At 47.4% G+C, this 12,621-nt stretch overlaps 1 annotated feature.

The window, feature by feature from the left end:
• Nucleotides 420-962: an enhancer, noted in NCBI's record as "H3K4me1 hESC enhancer chrX:39337208-39337750 (GRCh37/hg19 assembly coordinates)". NCBI's record gives its function as "activates a minimal SCP1, AML or CMV promoter by ChIP-STARR-seq in primed H9 embryonic stem cells {active_cell/tissue: H9 hESC(primed)}" and the evidence as "EXISTENCE:reporter gene assay evidence [ECO:0000049][PMID:30033119]".

Genomic DNA, 12,621 nt, shown 5'->3' on the forward strand with positions numbered 1-12,621 from the left:
CAGCAGCAGGGGGAAGCATGGGGACGAAAGAGGGGCACCCAAGGACCCACCAGCTGTAAGGCAGGAGCTGTTCTGACAGAGGGGGCGCCCGTGAGCTGGGGCCGCTCTTGGCTTCTGCACTTGGGCCCTGACTCAGCGGCTCAGGCTGTGATGGAGGAGTGGGAATCCATGCCCAAAGCTGACCCCTCGGATGTCCTCCCAGGGTCAGGCCAGACCAGACCATGACAGGGCGCTCAGCCTGGAAACATGGCAGCGGGCATCCTCCTCGTTGGATGTGGAGGGCAGTGACACAGGTGGTTAAACTCAATACGCTGGCCACAGGCCAGCCTTCCGGCTTGGCAATTACACACTCTCCCTGCTGCCCCGTCACCTCCCTGTCAGGCAGCTTTAATGCCGCTCGCCTCTTCCTGTCAGCAAATGTTTGTGTGTGGCGTTGCTGGGTGACAGTTGAACAGGGCTTGCATTTTCCTGGCCCCTAGGCCCCCGAGGGAGCCTTCCCTCTGCGGGCTTTACAAGCCTTCCAAGTCAACGCCGTGCGAGTCACAGCATGGAGGGGCACAGGCCCTCGCCCAGCTCCTGGAGAAAGGGTCACTCTGGCCAGATCCACTGAGGGGGACCGGAAAGTGGAGCCAGACCTTTCTCATGCTCCCAGCTCCCAGGGGAACTGATCCATTAGACCCCCTTCTCAGCTACATCTAGGGAGACAGCAATTCATTTTACCAAATGCTTTGTAAAGACAGAAGCCACAACTCCAGTCCCAAGTGAGGTCACATGTGGTCCCTGCCCATGAGAAGCTGGACAGTAGGTTGGACCACCAGGCATTCTGTAAACACAGTAAATGTAAGGAGACACCCCAAGGTTTAGAGAGAAACTCAGATTCCAAGCCAGGCTCTGTCAACCACCAGCTATGTGGTCTCAGCACCTTGCACCACCTCTCTGGGCCTCTGCCTCCCTATCTGTGACACAGGGTGGTAATAACAACCCCTACCTTTTTCAAACCCTATGGGGCTTCTTTCTTATTGTGTGCACGGAGAAGCCACAGTGGAGATGCCAGAAGCGGGAAAGGACCCCCTAACCAAATGGGGAAAATGCAGGGGATTAAGTGAGTCAGAGATCCTAGGAAAATGAAACGAGCTAATGGAAAATGTTTTTATTTGGTGGTAAGGAGAGTGGCTTGAGAGAGTGGAGCCTAATGGGAGAAGATGCTGAAGAATTAAAATGATAACTGATGGGCCAGGGTGGACAGTGCAGGCCTGGAGCAAGAAGCAGCAAAAACACATGTCATCAGGCCATGCAGACCTGAGTCCAAGTGTTTGCTAGCTGTGTGACCTTGGGCAAGTTGCTTGATCTCTGTGAACCTCATCCAGCAAATCTACTTCCAGTCCTCACCTCATAGGGTGGCTGTGGGGGTTTCACAAGGCTTGGCATGCAGTGCACATCTAGTGAGTTAGGCCCTTGGTCTGCTTGGAGAAAGGGGACAAAATCAAGTAATCTCACAAGGGCAAAGGCAGTCAGTGCCAAAGGCACAGGAACAGGTGCATGGGGGCTCCAGTGGGGAACAAGTATCTGGGACTGGGGCAGCCGGGGGCCATGTGTTAATCAGGATTCTTGTGGTTGCAAGTGACAGAAACAGACTTGGAATGAGCAGCAAAGCAAATGTAATGGTGCAGGTGGGATGAGGATGGGGGTATTGAAACAGAGGTGTCAGTGCCCCATCCACATGCACTGGAAGGTGGCTGGTGAACACCAGGACTTTTCTTCTGGCCACTGGAGCACTTTTGGCCCATGCACAGGACCAGCCAGAAGTTCCAGAGAGTTAATGCCCCCAGAGGCAACCTTTGACCAAGGATGGTCAAGAAGCTGAAGGATAAATACCCCATCTCCCTCGTTCTCAGACAGGTACCTTAAAGGCATGTTTCACACTAGTTCCCAGAGTTCCCTAACTGGATTGAGCCTCAGTTGCCCAAAGGGTCATTGGCTTATTTATTCACTCAGTCGTTATTGGCTTCCTTCCCTTCCTTGACTTCCTTTCTCCCCTATGTGTGGCTTCCTGGGCCCATTTTACAAATAAACTACTTAAAATCAAATCTTTGTCTCAGCATCTGCTTTTGGGGACCCAAACTAAGACAAATAGTGAGGCTTCAGGTTTGGCTAGTTCTAGATGCTTAAGCAATGCTCTCAGGTATCTGTTCTTCTCCATCTCTTAGCTCAGCTCTCTCTTCCTCTTACCCCCATCCCAGATGAGGAGAAGAGATATTCAAAGTATTTACAGAAAGATAGATAAAAATTATACTCCATCCCCAGGGTACGGCTAAGCATCCTCTGGAATGATAGCTGGCAAGAAAAGACAGAAAAACATAAGAGAGACAGAAATAAATAGATTAGGAAAAAGACAGAGTGCCCACATTTCTCCCCTTGGCACCTGGCTTGTGGAAAAGCACTGGGCCACTGGGAGATACCACAGAGGGGGCAGACATGTTTGTGCTTGAAAAGAAATAGTTATAAGAGAGCAATGCAATCACATCCTGACGGATGATTGTGAAAATGCAGGTGTGTGCATGTGTATGTTTAGTGACGAACTGGCTCATGGGAGCAGAAGGTGCCCTGTGAGCTGGGAGGTGAGATCCCAAGGCAGCTTGGGTGGGAGATCCTGGGTGTGAAGCCCGAGGCAGAGGAATTGAAAGCAGGAGCTCTGGAAACTGAGAGCTCGGCTGAAGGAGCAGAGATTAGGGTGACTGACCATCTCTATTTGCCTGGGATTGTCTCAGCTGAAGCACTGAAAGAGCTATGGCCTAAGAAATCCTCCCATCCCAGGCACACTGAGACAGTTGATCACTCTAGCTGAGATGCTTTAATATAAGCTCCCAGGAGAACATATATTCTGAGCAGAAGAGCAGGGCAGAGCCCACCTAGATGGAACAAACAAACTAAAAGAGAGAATGATGCAACATCCAAAATACTTTAAGCAAAATGTCTGCATATCTTTCAAAATTTTAAATGTACATACCTTTTGACCCAGAAACTGTACCTCTTGGAGTCTTTCTTTCAGAAATGCTCACACCCAAAAATATATGTACAAGGAGGCTTACTGCGGTCTCATCTGTCACATGGAAAAATTAGCAACACTGTAATTGTCCAGCAGGACAGTAATAAGGGAATGGTTAAAGAAATCATGATCTAGCCATATGGTAGCACACTTGGAAGTTAATAAAAAGGAAAAGTGTTTCTAGATTGTCCTAGTATGAGTTTCTGCAGAAACAGATCCTGAGACAAGCATAATGGTATAAATTATCTGGGAGATGGAAGAAGCACAGGAGGGGTGCGGCTGGGAGGTGGAGGGGAGTGGAGAGGGGAGATGGGGAAGGGAAGGCAAGCCAATAAAAGGTGTGTTATCAGTTAGTTACCGCTGTGGGAAACTGGGGCTCAGTCCTGCTGGGGACCTCTAGGAAATGCCTCCAAGTTATCCCACTCAAGGAGCAAGGGAGCTGGTATAATTAGATATCAACTCCTGAAACTCTGGTTGAGGGCTGCTCCCTGGGCTGTTAATTCCCTGGAACTTCCAGCCTTCCCTGCTTTGGCAGAGCTTGGAGAAAGCCCTCAAGCCAAAGAATGTGTACCCTGGCAATTAGAAGGGAGTGGCACACGCCAAAGTGGTCAGACTCCAGGGATACAGGCCAGGCACCAACAGCATCTGCCAAATATACATATAGTCATAGGAAAGAAACCCCTGATACATTATTTAAGTGGGGGGGAAGAGATTACCAGTACTATGCAGAGTATGACTGCATTTTTGTTACTAAAATATGTGTCAGCACATGTGAATTTTGGGGTGTATCTATGCATATGTGTAAAGGAAAAGAAAAAGAAAAGCAGGGATACTAAGCTGTGATCAGAAGCAGGGGCAGGATTGTCTATTTCCATAGTCTGAATTTTTTCAAACAAGTATTACCTTTGTAATTAATAATAATAATCACAATCGTAATTTAAAATGAAGAGAGAAGTTAAAGGAATTGAATGAGTAAACTATGTGAGGCAAAGGAGAGAAAGGCCCACATCCTTTATCCAAAATCTTCAGCTCAGACAAGTTTTAGAATTAAGAAGTTTTCATGTATTAGAAAGGTAAGACTTGTAGAAACCGTGTTTTATGAAACATCCCATGGGTAATCAGACACGTTGATGGTTCTGTGCTGAGACACGAATAATCATATGAAGAGGGATATATAATAACTCCAAAAAGCCTCATATCAATTGAAACCAGATTTTGCTGCCAAATATATTTGTGCCAAACTTACACAAAACTTGTGGGTTTCCATTGCAGATAAGGGATTGTGGATTGGCAGTAAGAAAAGGAGTTTTAAAAACCAGATCTAGGGGATGACAGGTTCAAGACAACAGGGCAACTATGACTTCATAGAATGATACTGCTTTGGTGGTGTGACATTACTATTGAGCTCCTACCTGGGGCACAGCGACTTGATGGAGGCCCCCCAGACCTAGGTGCTTCCAGGGGCTCTCACTTCCTGATCAAGTACCCATGTCACTTTAGAGCAGCTCTCAGGGGCCAAAGGATCTGCATTTCTAATACATTCCCAGTGGGGCTGACACCACTGGTTGGGGGCTGCACTGTTGAGTAGTGACACCATAAAGTTATTTCAGTTGAACCAAAGTAGGTCTCTATATCCCTTCTATCCATCAGCCCATGGCAGCCACAGAGAACATGTCGAATTGTCCTACAAATCACCAGGTTTCTTTGATCGGGTGCCAGCAGGGAGAATACGACCAGTCGGGGCTATGGTAAGGAAGGGGACCCCAAACAAGAAAGGCCATACTGCTTTTGAAACATAAAGAAGCCTTAAGAGAGAAGGAGACCAGAACCAGAGAGCAAATAAAGGCTGCGTGAGAGGAGAGAAGAGGAGCAGAAACCTGAGTGAGACTACTTAATGCTGTTTTACAACCTGAGTGTCGGGACATCCCAGCCATATAGGCAACTGCAGCCTTCATGCAGGTGGTCTCCTTGCACAAAAGGTTACTTCTAGGGGTGGGCATGGGGAAGAGGCATGATGGGGAAGAGCCACTGGGGAACCTTCTGGGTGACAGCAGAGGGGTTGAAATGTTCTATAGCTTGATCTGGGTGGTGGTTACATGGGTGCTACATATATAAAAAGTCCTCCAGCTGTATGCTTAAGATTTGTGAATTTTACTGTGAGGTTGTCACATAGCAACTAAAATTGGAAAATAAAATAAAATGAGCCTCAGTCCTGGGATTGAGTAGGTGAGCCAGTCCTTGGGCCCTCTCAGAGCATTGCCCAAGAGGCCACTGAGCCATGAAGGAATGACAAATTGCCTAGGGGACTGCAATAGGGGACTGCATGCATTTACATGAACCAAACTAACTAGATGACATGCATCTACCCCAGATGCAATGATTAAACAAATGAAATGTATGCAAAGATGTCTTACGATTTCACAGTCACATAACGTGTGCAAAAGACCTTATTTGGCAAAGATCTCCCAATCCTTTTGTTCCTTTTCCCTAGTCACAGAAAATTTATTTGAAGCATCAATGTGCCCAGCTTTCTCTGAGCCGCCTTTTTGGGTAAGTGTGCCCTGTACTAGGGAGTACAGGTAACTTCTGGCCACTGAGACGTGAGCAGAAGTGAGTGAGACCACTGGAAGATCTCCTTTAAGAAAGATACACCCTTCTTTCTTTCCTCCATATTGCTGTCCTGCAGTTGTGATGACTGGAGCTCTAGCAGCCTTCTTAGATCATGAGGACAAGGAAGTTGTCTGTGGGTGGTGAATCAGTGAGCTGGAAGAAGTCTTTGGTCCCTAGTGATTTTATCAAGGCTCCTAGGCTGGCTGTTCAGCCCGAGAGAAAACTTTCTACCTTGTTTAAACCCTGTTATTTCAGATGATTTTCACAGCCAAGTCTAACCCAGAGAGGGTCCCTTTGCCTGTGTGTCATGGTGCCCTGAGTCTCTCATAGGGTAGTGCACATTGATCCCCTACTGGCTGTGTGCCCTAGATGGTGGTATGGGGAAAGAGGACATCTTGGAGACCATCTACCAGAGAAGTGACACGGAAAGGATGGGATTTGGGAGAGTCAGATCGCACAAATGACTACAAGCTAGTACCACCCACCTCCTTATCGTCACCTTTACAATGTGACTTTATAGCTCCTCCCAGCAAGATGGAATCTATTTCTCTACCCTTTAATCTGGGTTGGCCATGTGACTTACATTGGCCAATGACAGAGTAACAAAAGTGGCCCAACCAGAGGTCTGAAAAGCATTTGAGCATTGGGACTTGCCCTCTCATTACTGTTGGAGCCCTATGATGGCCATGTGAACAAGCCTTGGGCTAGCCTGGCAGAGGATGCCAGATGATAGGAGAGAAGTCCCAGCCAGCTCCAGCCACCACATCAGCTGGCCATAGACAGATACATGAGCAAGGTTAGTGGAGACCTAAGGAGCCCAGCCCAGACCAGAAGAACCATCTGGCTAAGCCACAGACTGGTGAGAAATAAGAAACAGTTGTTGTTTTAGACCACTAAATCTTGGAGGAGCTTGTCAGCAATAGCTGACTGATACAGGGGACATGGCTTTTGAAAAGCCAAGTTCACACCACCTTACCCGAGGGCAGTGGTAGTGAGGAACGAATCGAAACCGATCAGGATAATACAAGACAGCCCAGCCCTTTGCCATTCCCAAGATTTCTCTGTGCCTAACTCTCCCCCACGCCTGGCCCATCTCTTAGCTAGGTATATATCTCCTCCGGGAGTCTGGGGAGGGCTCCAAGCTGACCTCTCCATTTCTCTTAGTGAGCAGTAAGTGAGGAGAGCAGGTGGCCACAGGCGGACAGCCATATAAGCATGACTTTCCTAGGGCAAAGGGAAGACTCAGCTCCAGGAGACAGGGAAGAAGCGGGGGTGGAGGAAGTCACAGCCCTTGGGGCTAGTTTATGCCTTTAAAACATGCAGATGTACAGAGAGACAGAACGAGTCTTTTCTATTATAAAATATGTGCTTAGCATATTTATGTCATAGTTTCAACATGTGCACTGAATCGAGTTATTGCATTAGGGAAGGAGATTTCCTTTGCTGCTTTTGACACACTTTGGTCTGCCTGCAGCCTTTGTGCAGGTGGCCTTCACACACAAAAGGAACCCTGGTGTCTGGCAGGGAGATGACCTGGGGTGGGACCCTGGCCCACAAGCCACGCCTGGCTTTGAGCTTCACTCAGATGCTCTCTAGTGTGTTGCTCCCAAGAAATGCAAAAGAAGGGGATTTTCTGCAAGGAGCTCCATGCAGAGCACTGGGGGCCCTGCTGTGCTGTTTACTTAGAGCAGCCCGCAGAAAGCTGGGGTGCTGGGAAACTTGGAAGACTGCCTGCACCCAGGGAGTTGGCCTCCTGGGCCAGCAGCCTGGGTGGAACCATGAGATGCAGGGCTCAGCTGGCAGAAAAGACTGACCTTGCTTTGACATGCAGCCTTGCCCCTTTTCCTCTCTGCACAAAAGCCCCTTTCATTTTCTTCCCTCCTCTTTCTCGTCTTCTCTCATTTCCCCACTCTCTTTCAATCTCTTTCCCCCGACTTTTTCTATCTTAATTGGCCATAACAAGGAACTGAATTCTTTTTATTATGTACTATATTTGTTGAATACAGTTTTATGTTCCTTGCTCTTAATTTTTAAAGTGGATGAGCTGAACACTTTATGGTTTTCTTTCCAAAATTTTTATATCACAGCAGTAGTCATTAGGGATGTTCACAAATATTCCGGTTCTCCATGTGGGCACGTCCGACACGGATGTCCCCTCCTGTTTTCGAGATACCTCATGGCCATGTCGCTTGTTTTGGCCAATTAAAAATGTGCGCACTCCTAGGTGGAAGTGTAACAGCCAGTGAGTTTTCAGGCCACTTGGTTTTCCTGCTGCTGTGGTGATGGGGGAAGCTTCTGTCGAGGTGAAGACTTTCTCAGCTTGGCATCTGAGGGGCTGCAGTGTGCATATTCTCCCTGCCAGCCCATATCAGGCACAGAGCATAGAGAATAAGCGTTGCTGTATTTAAGCCACTGAGTTTGTTACTGCAACATAGTCTTACCTATTCGAACTGATGCAGTCGTTTTACCGTACATCATCCTAGTATTAAGTATCTTTTCTAATAATAAATCATTTACTGCAATGTCAAAATTACCTATGCTGGTTTTTAATCTTTTGCATGGGAGGGGTCATGATCCCTTTGAAAATCTGATGAGGGCCAGGTGCAGTGGCTCACACCTGTAATCCCAGCACTTTGGGAGGCCAAGGTTGGTGGATCACTTGAGGTCAGGAGTTTGAGACCAGCCTGGCCAGCATGGTGAAACCCCATCTCTACTAAAAATACAAAAAAAAAAAAATTAGCCGGGTGTGATGGTGCGTGCCTGTTTTCCCAGCTACTCAGGAGGCTGAGGCAGGAGAATCACTTGAACCCAGGAGGTGGCAGCTGCAGTGAGTCAAGATTGTCAAGATCATGCCATTGCACTCCAGCCTGGGTGACAGAGTGAGACTCTGCCAAAAAAAAAAAAAAAGGAAAATCCGAAGAAACTATGAGGTCCCTTTACCTAAAAATGTCCACATGAAATTCTGCACGCAGTCGCAGGTGTTCACTCGCTCCAGGGTACAAAACTGATACTTAACCATCACTGCTCCTGCAACTTCAGTCCAAGGTACCAGGTGGAATAAAGTCTTCTTTTCTCCTCATTCTTGCTTCTGCCCTGCGGTCCTGAAACCATTGCAGACACAGAACTCTGACCATTCTAGCGGTGTTCTAATGACAAGAAGTCATGCATCATTTCAATTGCTGGAGCCTTAGCAATCATTGGATTATGAATAATTAGATTTCCACGAAGGTTCCCCATTAGGGTGAGTGAACATCTACAGGGATGTCCTTTACAGCAGACCAGGGTTTGGGCACTTCTAGGGCAACACCTCAGAAACCCCCTGGCAGGGTAGAATTGAAAATAAGTGGTAGCAGGGAGTTAGGGAAGGGGTGGTAGAATGCAATGACAAAGCACTTCACCATGACCCCATAGGCTTGTCCTCATGGATTTATTTGCATAAGAGCCCTTCCTTTATCTGTAACACCATGACCCTACATTTGGAGGAATAAATTCTTTTTTCACTACCGTACATGTGAGACCTTTTTGCCTTTCTGAATGTCAGTTTCATCATTTGCACAGTCTAAATTACTGACTGAAAAAATTCACTTGCAAGCTGGTTGTTCAGAACTAGTAACAAACGCTGCCCCCCACTACCACCACCACCATGAAGACAGTGTTTTATTTAAATGGTTGTCAATCTCCTTAGACAAATTACTGGTTTATCAGATGCATCTGAACATTAGAAAATGTTGGAATTCAAACGTAGGAATCTCTTAATTCAGGTCCTCAGTCCCCAACGTGCACTATTGCTAAAATTACCATTCTCTCTCACTCCAAGTCTCACTGTCTCAAAGTAGCCGAATGCATAAAGGGGTTCAGAGGAAAGCTATTTTCTTGGACTAATTCTCACTACAATGTGAGTGACTGGGAACCCCTTCATCCTTCATTCTCAGTGACTGGGAATCCCTTCATCCTCACATTTTTAAAAATAAATCTTAGAAACCCAATTGGATGCCTAATTGGTGGATCATGTATTTTAAAGTGAAGGCCAAAGTCAAGAGCAGTGAAGGGATGTTTTCTGGGAGTTTGTCTCCTGGGATCAACACTCCAAAGCACAGTTCTTAATTGTGAAAGCTTCACTTCGTCTTTCTACCAGCCCACACAGTTTCTAAAACAAAAGTATTTTTCAAACTAGCTCTTAAGGTCACCATATTGGGGCTTCCTGTGTGTGTTTTTGTGCATCTGAGGGGGTGTCGCAGACAAGAAAAGCAGCAGCTGTCCACAACCATGGGTCACTGATAAGTCCAGTGTCCATTAAGCCAGAGAATGTCCAAGAACAGAAGTATGCTCTATGCCAACTTCTCCCAGAACCTCCTATAACAAGTGAGTGGCATTGTCTGCAAAGCAATCTGGCGTCTTGGGAAAAGGAAACCCTTATTTGAGGGAGTGGGCGGCTGGGGGTGGGAAGAATAGATTTTTCATTCCTCAAAACCACTCGCAGAACATAAAATTAGTCACAGCCCCTTTATACTAGGAACAGAAATCAAATTCACATGGTGCCTAATTTTGCCTAAAGACACATCTCTTTGTGCCACAGGGCTATGTCCAGAGGTCTGACAGATGAGACAGTCTTCATTCCCTTCCAACTGGGTGAGGATGTGCCTCCCAGAAAGAGCTGGGTGCCAAAGAGGGCGTTATCATCTCTTCCTTCATTCAGCAGCTTTGTCTGCAAGATTGGAAAACGGCTAGTTGGTATATTTCGAGGGATCAAATAATTAGTTCTCTTGGAATCTCATTTTAGATTTTAATTCTTAGTCTTAGAGCCAAACTATAGGAGCAGAAATTTCTATCTGCGGCTGGAGGGATTCAGTTTCGGCACACTAAAAAAAGGCCCTGCTTCGGAGGCATTTTTCCATGCATGAATCAAATTATTCCAGCTGGGTTTTACCAACACGTAGGCAATCAAAACCTACTTTCACTTGCTATTTTATTCTTTATTTACTAGTTCTATAAATACTATGATGGGTGTGCTTTTATATTGAGGATGGGGGTGGCAGGCAGAGAGAACAGCTGCCTGCAGCCTTCAGTCCCATGCAGACCTCAGGTTGGTGGGGAGACAGGCCTGCCTGCCTCCTGCCCACCCCAGTCTTTGGGCTTGTGAGTATAGCCACCAGTCTTTCATTTGTCATACCTGTGCAGGGCACCTTTGCCACCCTCCTTTCCTTCCTAGGTTGAGAAGGCCAACCTGGTTTTTCAGAACGGGTACCCAAGTCTGCCAAGGAAACAAAAATAAAATACTCTTAAAATCCAGGGAAGAGGCAGACAAATACAAACTACAGACAATTCTGGCCAAGGCTGGTACATCTGGAAGTGGCATCTGGAGCAAGAAAGGGAACTTAAGATGAGGGGTTGGCCTTGGTGGCCTCCAGCTCTGATAGCTGATGATTTGATGAATTATACTTGCGCTCCAGGCCCCAGTGGATAAACCAGGATTAAGGGGTGAAGTGCCCAGGGAGGCAGATTCTGACTCAGCATCAGGACGAATTTGATAAAGATTAGAGTTGTCTAAAAATGAATTGGGCTGCCTTGGGGGTAGCAAGTGCCCTGTTTCTGCATTTTTTCAAGCATGGGATAACCCTGAGGAGCAGCCACAGAGAAGGGACTCAAAGCTCTAAGGAAGTTGATTTGGTGACAGTTAATGTCCTCTCCAACTCAGGAATCCCACAACCTCCGCTCCAGGGACTCTGAACTTCCAAAGGAAGTGGATGTGCCCCTCGGGCTCTCTGCCACCTTTCCTAAATAGGCATAGCTCCTTCTGCCTATGGGGACCAGAGATCCTCCAATTTGGGCCAGCACAGGGGCACATAAGCAAAGGGAGTCCACAAAGTCATCATTAGGGAGAATATAAGTGTCAGAGGGCAGAAAAGTGTTCCCCTAAAGGTTTAAAATGTGGAAGGCCAGGATATGCAAGCAGGCTCAAAGCTAGGTGGGGAAGGAGGGGACATCCAAGACACAGGCTCTCTCAGCGTCTGGGAAGTTGCCATAGAACAATCAGAGCTTCAGCATGCAAGATATCTTCTTGTTCCCCACTCCTCTTCTCAGAGATTCATTTGCAAGCCACCAGAGTTCTGCGGGGGCTCTTGCCATGTAGCAGTTGTTCTTATTTTGCCAGGACAGAGCTCTTAAGCCAGCAAGGACCTGCAGGTGGGACTCAAGCCACAGGAGCTGCAGGGCCAGTGATGACGTTCCTGCTCAGTGCCGGGGCAGGGAATGCCCACTTCCCTCCATCATCAGCTTTCCCATGTGAGCCATAGCCAGCCTCCAACCTCAGCCCTCTTCTGACAGACTGGGGCTGCCCACAGCTCTGTCAACCCCTAAAGGGCCTTGGGCTTCTGCCTGTCCTTCCAGGCCACCAGTGGCACACACCTGACTGAGACATGGAAGTGGGCCTCAGCATGGCCTGATGGCACTGTGGCCCAGCCATCCTGAATACTCACCTGATGAAGGAGGCAGGAATTCAAGATGGCTGATGTGCTGGGTTGAATAATGTCCCCCTCCCAAATCCATATTCACCCAGAACCTCAAAATGTGGTCTTGTTTGGAAATGGGTGCAAAGGTCCTTTCCCACTGGCGTAAGTCCAGTGAGACAGAACACTCACATAAGTCGAGCAAAGCAGGTTTATTACTCACAGAGTAATAGGCAGAAATAAAAAAGAGAAGCCTAGGACCCACAGTAAGCCAGTCCCCCAAGGCTCAGGAAAGCTGCTCAGGGTGGATGGAGTCTCTTCTGCATGTGCCCCATGTCACGTTGCAGCTGAGGGGCCCTAAAAACACTCGGTCCTGGATTTTATACCTGAACATCACTGGAATTGCTGAGAATAAGCATTACAGGAGAGCCTGTTCTAGAAGGACTGAGGACAGAGCCCAGGCTGTTCCAGACAGTTCTTTCTTATCAGAAGACATTGCATTCTTGGCATATTCTCCAA

Source organism: Homo sapiens, chromosome X (genome assembly GCF_000001405.40).
Source record: "Homo sapiens chromosome X, GRCh38.p14 Primary Assembly".
NCBI lineage: Eukaryota > Metazoa > Chordata > Mammalia > Primates > Hominidae > Homo > Homo sapiens.